The 14,187-nt window shown below is 40.5% G+C and overlaps 1 protein-coding gene and 1 long non-coding RNA gene across 6 annotated transcripts in view, besides 1 other annotated feature; one reads left to right on the top strand and one right to left on the bottom strand.

Moving 5' to 3' along the window:
- The window catches only part of ARHGAP29 (Rho GTPase activating protein 29), a 145,688-nt gene that overhangs the window by 17,852 nt on the left and 113,649 nt on the right, over nucleotides 1-14,187 (top strand). The window lies entirely within an intron of this gene.
- ARHGAP29-AS1 (ARHGAP29 antisense RNA 1) overlaps nucleotides 1-14,187 on the bottom strand; it is an 86,939-nt gene that overhangs the window by 38,066 nt on the left and 34,686 nt on the right. The window lies entirely within an intron of this gene.
- Nucleotides 12,097-12,156: an enhancer, noted in NCBI's record as "active region_1346". NCBI's record gives its function as "activates an Ori minimal core promoter by ATAC-STARR-seq in GM12878 lymphoblastoid cells {active_cell/tissue: GM12878}" and the evidence as "EXISTENCE:reporter gene assay evidence [ECO:0000049][PMID:35858748]".

Genomic DNA, 14,187 nt, shown 5'->3' with positions numbered 1-14,187 from the left:
CAGAGCAACTTTGCATCCTTCTCTACCCAGCTCTGTGTTGGGGGAGGCCAAAGTCTATATAAACTGTATCAATAGACTTCTTTGCCCTCTACTTTCTGGTGGGGTTTGGCTATGGGGAAGCCCCAGCAAGGTACTTGAGAGAAAGAAGAGCATGAGATAAGAGTACAGTAGTCCCCCCTGATTGAGGGGATATGTTCCAAGACCCCTAGTGGATGCCTGAAAGCAAAGATAGCATTAAACCCTATATATACTATGTTTTTCCTGTGCGTACTTACCTATAACTTTTAACTTATAAATTAGGCACAGTAAGAGTTTAACAACAATAACTAATAATAAAATAGAACAATTATAAAAATATGCCAGCATCACTACTCTTGTGCTTTGGTGCCATTATTAAGTGAAATAAGAGTGACTTGAACACAAGCACTGCCATACCACCTCAACAGTCGATCTGCTAACTGAGAGAGCTACTAAGTGACTAGCAGGCAGGGAGCATAAATAGCGTGGATATGCCGGACAATGGGATGATTCACGTCCCAGGCCGGATGGAGCAAGATTTCATTGTGCTACTTGGCATAGTGCACAATTTAAAACTTATGAATTGTTTATTTTTGGAATTTTTTCATTTAATATTCTCAGACTGTGGTTGACCATGGGTAACTGAAACCTTGGAAAGAGAAACCATGGATAAGGGGAACTACTATATTTATTCCTCTGCCTTCTTCCCAGAAAAGTCTTCCTGGATTGGCTGTTTCTTTTGACCAAAGTCATTGTCCTCTCAAGACAGCCTTCTTCCAGGTTCTGGTAATTGCTCCTTCCCCTCATCCTTTCAAATCTAAGGTAATTGTTCCACTGTTTCTTGCCTCAGGGTTCTCTACAATCCTGTTGGTTCTCTATATTGTAACTGCACTGTTGTAAGTAGTTCCTACCTCAAATACCCCAATGTGGAATTAGAAGATTCCACATTGTGTGGAATTAGAAGATTCCACATTGTGTGGAATTAGAAGATTCCACATTGTGTGGAGTTAGAATTCCACATTAGAATTAGAGTAAGTATTTCATGTTTCCTGCTGACTGATACATTCTCCTTCTCCAATGGATTCATCGCATCAACATATAAGCACACGGAAGTATCCAAGATTCACAGATCATTAATCTTTTCCCGATATCTAGTTTTTTCTAGCCTACACTCTAAATTACATCCTAGATCTTGTCATCAATTAGAATCGCTCCATTTCTGAAATCTTAAACTACAATTTAAATTGTACAATGTCTGAGTACAATCTTCTTATCAATGTGTGCTTTTAATTGCATCAAAGTCACTAAGCCCCTTGATTCTTCTACTTCACCCCAATTTCTCAGCTTCCTCTAGTTTTTATTTCCTTCTCTAGGCAGCCTAAAAACAAAGCCCTATCCTTTCAATCTTTCTCTTGCTTAACACTCTCAATTCCATTCTTCCTCATTCTTCTATATACCCACTTGGCAAAATCCCAATCCTGGTGAACCCGGCTACCCACCTTCTCTAACCTATAACTGATGCTGATGAAGGTAGACCAGACACAAATTGTTATCACTGTTCTTTTAAGATTTCCAGCCTTAACTCCAATCCTTCTAGTTGGCCCTAGTCAACATGTTCTCCCTTTCCCCTAGTAATACAATTTCAAACCTTCTTCTTGAACCGAAAGGAGGGGTCTACATTTGTCATTTTACCTTTCTTACCTCTTTTCTCACCTTAATTCACTCCAATATCTTTCAGTCTCACTCTGTCTATGGAAGCTGCTTTTGCCACAGTTAGCAATAAATTCTTAATTTCTCAAAATAATTGAATTTTCAGACTTTGCCTTATTTGCCCTCAAGGGCATTTGACACTGTTGTCTGTTTTCTTCTCAAAACTCTTCATTTCTTGCCTTCCAGGATAATATTATTTTCTCCCCTCCACTTATCTCTTGAACGTTAGTATTTTCCAGGGTTCCATGCTTTTCCCTCCTCTCATCTTCTCATTTAATGATCTTGCCATTTAGCCCTCTGCTCATCTCATCTAGGTGTTCTTATTCACTGCCAGTGGTCACTAGTGTGAACAACAAATACACCTATCATCTCTAAGTCTGGGGGCCAAATTTTGCTCCAAAGTTCTAAAGTAATATATCCAATTGCTGGCCAGGTGTGGTAGCTCACACCTGTAATCCCAGTACTTTGGGAGGCCTAGGTGGAGCTCACTTGAGCCCAGGAGTGCGAGATAAGCCTGCTCAACACAGCAAGACAGTGTCTCTACAAAAAATAAATTTAAAAAGTTAGCCAGGTGCTATGGCGTGTGCCTGTAGTCCCAGCTACTTCACTTGAGCCTGGGAGATGGAGGCTAGAGTGGGCCACAATGGCACTCCAGCCTGGGCAACAAAGCAAGATTCTGTCTAAAAAAATATATACATATATATATATTTATATTGTAAATATATGCGCGTGTGTGTGTGTGTGTGCACATGTATGTATATATAATTGCTGACTCTTTTGGCTGCATGTCTGACCAATACCCACAACTCAATATGTTCCAAATTAAATGATTAATATTATCCATTCCACACTCTGCCCAAATCCTTCTCCTTTATTGAACAGCACCTGTGATATGTGAAACATATATTTGGTCTTCAGCCTATTTCCTGTCATACAACTCCTAAAATCCTTAGAAACTCTACAATGACATCTTTTTGCACAGTAATGATTAGTCAATGGCTGGCAGTCCCTAGGTAGCTTCTGGTTGGAGGCTGGTCACCAGAAAGACCAAGCCATGATTAGAGGATTGGGACATTCAGCCTAACCTTCTAACTGGGAGAGGGGAGAGGGGCTGAAGATAAAGTCAATCACCAGTGGCCAGTGGTTTAATAAATCATGCCTATGTAATGAAGCCTTCATAAAATCCCTGGAGGACTAAGTTTGGAAGCTTCCAGATAGCTGAACACGGAAATTCCTGGAGGGTGGCACACCCATGGAGGGCATGGAAGTTGTGCACCCTTTCCTGCACACCTCCCCCGCTATGCACAGCTTCATCTGTATCTGTATTCATCTGTTCTCACATTGCTATAAACAACTGCTTGAGAGTGTGTAATTTATAAAGAAAAGAGGTGGGTCACTTCCAAGACGGTCAAATAGGAACAGCTCTGGTCTACAGCTCCCAGTGAGATTGACGCAGAAGACGAGTGATTTCTGCATTTCCTACTGAGATACCTGGTTCATCTCACTGGGACTGGTTGGACAGTGGGTGCAGCCCATGGAGGGTGAGCTGAAGCAGGACAGGGTGTCACCTCACCCAGGAAGTGCAAAGGGTCGGGGGATTTCCCTTTCATAGCCAAGGGAAGCAGTGAGTGGACTGTACCTGAAGGAACGGTACACTTCTGGCCAATTACTGTGCTTTTCCCATGGTCTTTGCAACCGGCAGACCAGGAGATTCCCTCCCGTGCCTGGCTCAGTGGGTCCCATGCCCATGGAGCCTTGCTCGCTGCCAGCGCAGCAGTCTGAGATCAACCTGGGACACTGGACCTTGATGGGGGGAGAGGAATCTGCCATTGCTGAGGCTTGAGTAGGCGGTTCTATGCTCACAGTGTAAACAAAGCGGCAGGGAAGCTCAAACTGGGCGGAGCCCACCACAGCTCAGCAAGGCCTACTGCCTCTCTAGATTCCACCTCTTGGGGCAGGGCATATCTGAACAAAATGCAGCAGACAGCTTCTGCAGACTTAAACATCTCTGCCTGACAGCTCTGAAGAGAGCAGTGGTTTTCCCAGCATGGCGTTCAAGGTCCAATAACAGACAGACTGCCTCCTCAAGTGGGTCCCAGACCCCCGTGTAGCCTGATTGGGAGACACCTCCCAGTAGGGACCAACAGACACCTCATACAGGCAGATGCCCCGCTGAGACAAAGCTTCTAGAGGAAAGATCAGGCAGCAATATTTGCTGCTCTGCAGCCTCTGCTGGTGATACCCAGGCAAACACGGTCTGGAGCGGACCTCCAGCAAACTCCAAGAGACCTGCAGCTGAGGGGCCTGTCTGTTAGAAGGAAAACTAACAAACAGAAAGGAACAGCATCAACATCAACAAAAAGGACATCCACACCAAAACCTCATCCGTAGGTCACCAACATCAAAGACCAAAGGTAGGTAAAACCAAAAGATGGAGAGAAATCAGAGCAGAAAGGCTGAAAATTCCAAAAACCAGAATGCCTCTTCTCCTCCAAAGGAACACAACTCCTTGCCAGCAAGGGAACAAAAATGGACAGAGAATGAGTTTGACAAGTTGACGGAAGTAGGCTTCAGAAGGTCAGTAATAACAAACTTCTCCGAGCTAAAGGACCACATTCTAACTCATCGCAAGGAAGCTAAAAACCTTGAAAAAAGGTTAGACGAATGGCTAACTAGAATAACCAGTGCAGAGAAGAGCTTAAATGACGTGATGGAGCTGAAAACCACAGTACGAGAACTTCGTGAAGCATACACAGGCTTCAGTAGCCAATTTGATTAAGTGGAAGAAAGGACATCAGTGATTGAAGATAAAATTAATGAAATAGAGAGAGAAGACAAGATTAGAGAAAAAAGAGTGAAAAGAAACAAACAAAGCCTCCAAGAAATATGGGACTATGTGAAAAGACCAAATCTACGTTTGAATGGTGTATCTGAAAGTGACAGGGAGAATGGAACCAAGTCAGAAAACACTCTTCAGGATATTATCCAGGAGAACTTCCCCAACCTAGCAAGGCAGGCCAAAATTCAAATTCGGGAAATACGGAGAACACCACAAAGATACTCCTCAAGAAGAGCAACCCCAAGACACAAAATTGTCAGATTCACCAAGGTTGAAATGAACGAAAAAATATTAAGGGAAGCCGGAGAGAAGGGTTGGGTTACCCACAAAGGGAAGCCCATCAGACTAACAGTGGATCTCTTGACAGAAACCCTACAAGTCAGAAGAGAGTGGGGGCCAATATTCAACATTCTTAAAGAAAAGAATTTTCATCCCAGAATTTCATATCCAGCCAAACTAAGCTTCATAAGTGAAGGAGAAAGAAAATCCTTTACAGACAAGCAAATGCTGACAGATTTTGTCATCACCAGGCCTGCCTTACAAGAGCCCCTGAAGGAAGCACTAAACATGGAAAGGAACAACTGGTACCAGCCACTGCAAAAACATGCCAAATTGTAAAGACCATCGACACTATAAAGAAACTATATCAATTAACAGGTGAAATAACCAGCTAGCATCATAATGACAGGATCAAATTCACACATAACAATATTAACCTTAAATGTAAATGGGCTAAATGCCCCAATTAAAAGACACAGATTAGCAAATTGGATAAAGAGTAAAGACCCATCAGTGTGCTGTATTCAGGATACCCATCTCATGTGCAAAGACACACATAGGTTCAAAATAAAGGGATGGAGGAAGATCTACCAAGCAAATGGAAAGCAAAAAACAAACAAACAAACAACCAAACAAACAAACAAGAAAGCAGGGGTTGCAATCCTGGTCTCTGATAAAACAGACTTTAAACCAACAAAGATCACAAGAGACAAAGAAGGCCATTACATAATGGTAAAGGGATCAATTCAACAAGAAGAGCTAACTATCCTAAATATATATGCACCCAATACAGGAGCACCCAGATTCATAAAGCAAGTCCTTAGAGACCTACAAAGAGAATTAGACTTCCACACAATAATAATGGGAGACTTTAACACCCAACTGTCAATATTAGATCAACGAGACAGAAAATTTACAAGGATATCCAGGAATTGAACTCAGTTCTGGACCAAGTGGACCTAATAGACATCTACCAAACTCTCCACCCCAAATCAGCAGAATATACATTCTTCTCACAGCACATCACACTTATTCTAAAATTGACCACATAATTAGAAGTAAAACACTCCTCAGCAAATGTAAAAGAACAGAAATCACAACAAACTCTCTCTCAGACCACAGTGCAATCAAATTAGAACTCAGGTTTAAGAAACTCACTCAAAACTGCACAACTACATGGAAACTGAACAACCTGCTCCTGAATGACTACTGGGTAAGTGACGAAATGAAGGCAGAAATAAAGTTGTTCTTTGAAACCAATGAGAACAAAGACACAATGTACCAGAATCTCTGGGACACATTTAAAGCAGTGTATAGAGGGAAATTTATAGCACTAAATGCCCACAAGAGAAAGCAGGAAAGATCTAAAATTGATGCCCTAACATCACAATTAAAAGAACTAGAAAAACAAGAGCAAACAAATTCAAAAGCTAACAGAAGACAAGAAATAACAAAGATCAGAGCAGGACTGAAGGAGATACAGACACAAAAAACTCTTCAAAAAATCATTGAATCCAGGAGTGGTTTTCTGAAAAGATCAACAAAATAGATAGACCACTAGCAAGACTAATAAAGAAGAAATAGAGAAGAATAAAATAGACGCAATAAAAAATGATAAAGGGGATATCACCACTGATCCCACAGAAATACAAACTACCATCAGAGAATAACTGATGAATAGACCCGAATAGACCTGAATAAACACCTGAATAGACCAATAACAGGTTCTGAAATTGAGGAAATAATTAATAGCCTACCAACCAAAAAAAGTCCAGGACCAGACGGATTCACAGCCAAATTCTACCAGAGGTACAAAGAGGAGCAGGTACCATTCCTTCTGAAACTATTCCAATCAATAGAAAAAGAGGGAATCCTCCCTAACTCATTTTCTGAGTCCAGCATCATCCTGATACCAAAGCCTGGCAGAGACACAATGAAAAAGAGAATTTTAGACCAATATCCCTGATGAACATCAATGCAAAAATCCTCAATAAAATACTGGCAAACTGAATCCAGCAGGACATCAAAAAGCTTATCCACCACAATCAAGTTGTCTTCATCCCTGGGATGTAAGGCTGGTTCAACATAGGCAAATCAATAAATGTAAGCCATCACATAAACAGAACCAACCACAAAAACCACATGATTATCTCAATAGATGCAGAAACGGCCTTCAACAAAATTCAACAGCCTTTCATGCTGAAAACTCTCAATAAACTAGTTATTGACGGAACGTATCTCAAAATAATAAGAGCTATTTATGACAGACCCACAGCCAATATCATACTGAATGGGCAAAAACTGGAAGCATTCCCTTTGAAAACCGACAGCAGACAAGGATGCCCTCTCTTACCATTCCTATTCAACATAGTGTTGGAAGTTCTGGCCAGGGCAATCAGGCAAGGGAAAGAAATAAAGTGTATTCAATTAGGAAAAGAGGAAGTCAAACTGTCCCTGCCTTTGCAGATGACATGACTGTATATTTAGAAAGCCCCATCCTCTCAGCCCAAAATCTCCTTAAGCTGATAAGCAACTTCAGCAAAGTCTCAGGATACAAAATCAATGTGCAAAAATCATAAGCATTCCTATACACCAAGAACAGACAAACAGAGAGCCAAATCATGAGTGAACTCCCATTCACAATTACTACAAAGAGAATAAAATAGCTAGGAATCCAACTTACAAGGGATGTGAAGGATCTGTTCAAGGAGAACTACAAACCACTGCTCAACAAAATGAAAGAGGACACAAACAAATGGAAGAACATTCCATACTCATGGATAGGAAGAATCAGTATTGTGAAAATGGCCATACTGCCAAGTTAATTTATAGATTCAATACTATCCCCATCAACCTGCCACTGTCTTTCTTCACATAATTGGAAAAACTACTTAAAATTTCATATGGAAACAAAAAAGAGCCCACATAGCCAAGTCAATCCTAAGCAAAAAGAAAAAAGCTGGAGGCATCACGCTACCTGACTTCACTACAAGGCTACAGTAACCAAAACAGCATGGTACTGGTACCAAAACAGAGATATAGACCAATGGAACAGAACAGAGCCCTCAGAAATAACACCACACATCTACAACTATCTGATCTTTGACAAACCTGACAAAAACAAGAAATGGGGAAAGGATTCCCTATTTAACAAATGGTGCTGGGAAAACTGGCTAGCCATATGTAGAAAGCTGAAACTGGATCCCTTCCTTACACCTTATACAAAAATTAACTCAAGATGGATTAAAGACTTAAATGTAGTACCTAAAACCATAAAAACCCTAGAAGGAAACCTGGGCAATATCATTCAGGACATAAGCATGGGCAAAGACTTCATGACTAAAACACCAAAAGCAATGGCAACAAAAGCCAAAATTGACAAATGGGATCTAATTAAACTAAAGAGCTTCTGCACTGCAAAAGAAACTATCATCAGAGTGGACAGGCAACCTACAGAATGGGAGAAAATTTTTGCAATCTACCCATCTGACAAAGGGCTAATATCCAGAATCTACAAAGAACTTAGACAAATTTACAAGAAAAAAACAAACAACCCCATCAAAAAGTGGGCAAAGGATACGAACAGACACTTCTCAAAAAAACACATTTATGCAGCCAACATACATATGAAAAAATGCTCATCATCACTGGTCATCAGAGAAATGCAAATCAAAACCACAATGAGATACTATCTCACACCAGTTAGAAATGCGATCATTAAAACGTCAGGAAACAACAGATGCGAGAGAGGATGTGGAGAAATAGAAATGCTTTTACACTGTTGGTGGGAGTGTAAATTAGTTCAACCATTGTGGAAGACCGTGTGGATCAAGGATCTAGAACCAGAAACACTATTTGACCCAGCAATCCCATTACTGGGTATATACCCAAAGGATTATAAATCTTGCTACTATAAAGGCACATGTACACGCATGTTTATTGCGGGACTATTCACAATAGCAGAGACTTGGACCCAACCCAAATGTCCATCAATAATAGACTGGATAAAGAAAATGTGGCAAATATACACCATGGAATACTATGCAGCCATAAAAAAAGGATGAGTTCATGTCCTTTGCAGGGACATGGATGAAGCTGAGAACCATCATTCTCAGCAAACTATCACAAGGACAGAAAACCAAACATCGCATGTTCTCACGCATAAGTGGGAGTTGAACAATGAGAACACATGGACACAGGGTGGGGAACATCACACACCAGGGCCTGTTGTGGGGTGGGGAGCTGGGGGGGATAGCATTAGGAGAAATACCTAATGTAAATGACGAGTTAATGGGTGCAGCAAACCAACATTGCACATGTATACCTATGTAACAAACCTGCAAGTTGTGCACATGTATCCTAGAACTTAAAGTATAATAATAATAATAATAATAATAGTAAAAGAGGTTTAATTGACTCACAGTTCCAGATGGCTGAGGAGGCCTCAGGAAACTTACAATCATGGTGGAAGGGAAAGGGGAAGCAAAGAACTTCTTCATAGCAGGAAAGACAGAGCTAGCAAGAGCAGGGAAAACTGCCTTATAAAACCATCAGATCTCTGAGAAGTTACTCACTATCATGAGAACACAATGGGGGAAACCGCCCCCATAATCCAATCATCTCCCTCCCTCAATATGTGGGGATTACAATTCCAGATGAGATTTGGGTGGGGCCACAGAGCCAAACCATATCAGTATTCTTTGTAATATCCTTTATAATAAACCAGTAAACGAAAGTGTTTACTTGAGTTCTGGGAGCCACTCCAGCAAATTAATCAAACTCAAAGAGGGTAGTGGAAACCTCAACTTGAGCCAGTCAATCAGAAGTTCCAGAGCCCTGGACTTGTGACTGTTGTCTGGTGGGTGTGGCAGGATGTACTGGGGACTGAGCCCTTAACCTGTGGGATCTAATGCTACCTCCAGGTTGATAGTGTCGTAATGCTATCTCCAGGTTGATAGTGTTGGAATTGAATTGGAGGACACCCAGTGATTGTGATTGTTGTGTGAGAGCAGAGGAAAATGCAGTTTGAGTTTTTCCACATTTACCATACCATATTCCACTTTCCCAGTCACTGGTACCCAACTTTCTGAGATCATCTTTGACTTCTAACATACCAAGTCATTTGATCACCAAAGACCTTGTTTATTCTATTTCCTTCTTAATTTTTCTGAAATCTATTCATCCTCTCTGTTTCTTCTGACCTCACTTTTAAAATTTATTTATTTTTGAGACAGGGTCTCACTCTGTCACCCAGGCTGGAGTGCAGTGCCATAATCTCAACTCACTGCAGCTTCAACCTTCCAGTCTCAGGTGATCCTCCCACTTCAGCCTCTCGAGTAGCTGGGACTACAGTTGTGCATCACCACGCCTGGCTAATTTTTGTATTTTTTGTAGAGATAGGGTTTTACCATGTTGCCCAGGCTGGTCTTGAACTCCTGGTCTCAAGTGATCCTCCTGCCTTGGCCTCCCAAAATGCTGGGATTATAGGCATGAGCCACCATGCTCAGACTAAATTTTTTCTTATTTTCAATCCATAGTATATGTTATGGGTTGAATATTTTTGCCTTTCCCAAATTCATATGTTGAAGCCCTAAACCCCTAATGTGACTGTATTTTTAGGCCATAATTATAGTTAAATGAGGTAATAAGAGTGGGGCTGATAGTGTTGGTGGCCTTATAAAAAGAGGAAGAAATCTTTCTCTGCCATGTGAGGACACAGCAAGAAGGCAGCCATCTGCAAGCCAGGAAGAGAACCCTCAACAGACCCTGACCATGCTGGCACTCTAATGTAAGACTTCCAGCCCTCATAACTGTGAAGAAGTAAATTTCTGTTCTAAGCTACTCAGTACATAATATTTTATTAGGGAAGCCCACGCTGACTAAGACAGTGTATTACTTGCTGTCTCCTAGAACAAGTCATGTTCTTTCAAAATATTTTGTCTCTGTGTGCTTGCCTTTCCACCAACTGCTCACTGGGGCTTGAATGTAGTTCTTTTTTTTTTTCTTTTTTTTTTTTTTTTTGAGACAGAGTCTTGCTCTGTCATCAGGCTGGAGTATAGTGGCGCAATCTTGGCTCACTGCAACCTCCGCCTCCCGGGTTCAAGTGATTCTCCTGCCTTAGCCTCCCAAGTAGCTGGGATTACAGGCACATGCCACCATGCCTAGCTAATTTTTGTATTTTTAGTAGAGACTGGGTTTCACCATGTTGGCCAGGATGGTCTCCATCTCCTGACCTCATGATCCACCCACTTTGGCCTCCCAAAATGCTGGGATTACAGGCGAATGTACTTCTTTTTCTCTACACCAGTACATTCCCTCTCCTTCTTCATGTGCAAACACTCATTCATCTTTTAGGAATCAATTTATGACTCACTTCCTCCAGAATGCCTTCATTGACCCTTCCAGGCTGATATTCTTCCTCCTTATATCCATAGCTTCCTGAGCTTAACTTTATTACAGCTCTTATCATGCTCTATTATAATTCCCTATTAACTAATCTGTCTCTCACACTAGCTTGTGAGACCTTTGAGACCGGGACTGTATTTTTTTTTTTTAACCTGTATCTGCAGGAGTGAACATAGCACTCAACTCATTGTTGATGCTCAATGTGTTTTTGTGGAATGAATGACTGAAACTCATGACTGCCTCGTTCCATACTCAATCTACAGTCAACAAAACACACTGTCCAACTCTATTCATTGCCTTGTGACACAGCTGGTTGTGAATGTGCGACTCTCACTCATGAAATTATGAACAGCTGGAAGACAATCATTTTTATGTTTTGTTTTTGTATCAGCCATGACACCTCACTCTGTGCCTTGTACATGTTAGGTAGACAATAATTTTTTTGTTAAAGAAATAAGTACAGTTGACAAAAAAGCTAATGCACTCTAAGCCTTCATTAACAGATGTTCAGTGTAAAAAGAGTGTTTGTACTCCTAATAACTCTTATGTGGATCGGATCACATCTGAAGTATTGTGTTCAATGCTGGGCAACCACCATACATTCCTTCCTTCAACATATGTTTATGGAGTGCCTACTCTATGCCACTATCTTTCTTCTGTGCCCAAGGCTTAGAAATCAAAGAAACTTAGGTTTTGTCACTTAAACTGTGTGTACTAGACAGGATTGGCTAGATTTTGTTATAGAAACAAACAATCTCGGAGTATCAGTGGCTTACCACATCCTAGTTTTGTTTCTCTTTCATGCTTTATGTCTGTCATGGGCTGAATGCGGCTTTACTCCACACAGTATTCACTCCAGGACCCAAGTTGCCTCCATCTGGAACATTGCTGATTTCACAGCAGACAGAAGGCATAGCCAACCATGCATTGGCTCTTAAAACTTCTGTCCAGAAGTAACACACATCATTTCTGCTCACATTTCATTGGCCAAAGTCAGTGCTATGACCATGCCTGGATTCACACAAAGAGGGGCAAATAGGGTGAACAGTAATATAATCTACTACACTATGTGATCTAACCTGTTCAAGTCCCCATTTTATCATTTGTAAAATTATAACAATAATCTCTGCAATGAAGACTGAGGTAAGGATGCAAAATAAGGTATGTAAAGTGTTTGGCACATTGTAATCTGTCAGGAAATTGTAGCTATTTCAATTTAAATTCTATTTAAAAGTTTAAAAACTCTGATACTCAGCATAAGAAATTACTATAAGTAAAGCTCTCTAAACACTTAACAGTAAAGTAAATTAGTTCTCCCTTCCTTTGAATTTTTTCTCTGAAAACCCACTTAAACTGTCTGAATTGTGTTTCCAGCCCTGGCTTGATGGTTTTTTTTTTTTTTTCCCATTTCTGCCTTTCAACTTTTTGCCAGAATCAACATAACCTAAGAAGAAATAGATTGGGTGAAAATTCTGTGATTTATTGTTCATTTTTTTCATGTTCAAGATCTGTTTTTCAAACAAGTAAGCAACTGAGTACAAGACCATTTTTCACACTTAATTGCATCACTAGAAACTAGCTCTATTCCCCATCCAGAAAATCTCTGGGTACCGATAAAGATGTTTGGAAATGGGATTGGGACTTTATGCTATCATTTGATAGTATCCACTGATTTTCTAAGTTTATAGCTACATTTTAGCAATATTTATTTTTAAATGCACCTTGTTTGTTTGTTAAACTTCATACCATTTTCTGCTAAATTATGCAACAGCAAAGAGCATGATGGTATGACTTAACATACAGAGTTACACTGATCCTGGTAATATTGCTTCCAGATTCATCCACTAAAAACTGAGTGCAATAATAATTTACTGCTTTTTCATCACTCTCCCTAGAATGACTAAAAGAAATTCTATATGCAGAGTTGAACATTCTTTCCATGAGGTAATCGATTCTAGTTCTTTTAAATATTTGGTAACCATTTGAGTTATCAAATATGATTTTTTAAAAAATAATTATTGAACTGGGGGCATTTTAAAATAAGTCTTTGAAATCTATTATATACCTCATTTGAAGTCAGGGACAGGAGTGGTGCTTGGGAGTCACAAGGGTAGCACCTTCCAAGACTTCTCTAAACCACTCAGCAGCCCTGTGAGCCATGTGTGCATGGTAACCAGGTTACCCCTCAGCAATGTCATCTTGTGCAGAATATCCTTAATGATGGCACAGTGTTTAGAAGATAGAAAGCAATGGTACCCAGGTGGCCGTTCAAACTAATGGCTGGTTACTTGCTACAAAAACAGAGAGCCTCCCTGTTTATAATCTCATTAAAATATACTCAATAAAAAATCTTACAGAGTTGGCGTTGGCAGTTTAGAATAATGGTTTTATGTATTTTTTTTCCTTAAGGTTAAAAAAATGTTGCTGACTGTTGGTCTGTGTCTTTGCTAAACTTTATAACTTGGTATTTATCTATAAAGCTCTAAATACTAGGGCCAAGACTCTCAAGAGAGAGTAGGAGGGATAGGAGGGAAAGACATCCTTCCTTACTCACAGAGGGAGAAACACTAATTTGAACTAGACTTGAGTTATTTAGATTCACTCAGATCTAAAGTCCTTATTTTTGCCTGGAGACAAACCACATAGAGAAGGGAATCATCTTAATCAGCTTAAGCATGGCCCATTCTTGGTTCTTCTTCTGCAGTATGAAGCAGTCCATAGCTCTCTAAGCTGCCAGGCTTCCCCTCTCATCATCCAGAAGAAAACCTCAGGGCCATGGACCTCTAGGCAGAAGAGAAGAGGGTTAGAGGCCCTGACAGATACTATGGGGCTCTCAAATCTCATTCCCTCCTTTTTTACTTCTCTTCCATTTTTACTACTCATTGGCAAAAATACACTTTGACCACGTGTGGTCATGCCTGTAATGTGGCTCATGC

The sequence above is a fragment of the Homo sapiens genome, chromosome 1 (genome assembly GCF_000001405.40).
Source record: "Homo sapiens chromosome 1, GRCh38.p14 Primary Assembly".
Taxonomy (NCBI): Eukaryota; Metazoa; Chordata; class Mammalia; order Primates; family Hominidae; genus Homo; species Homo sapiens.
The sequence above is the reverse complement of the archived record's forward strand: the minus strand, read 5'-3'. Positions and strand labels throughout refer to the sequence as shown.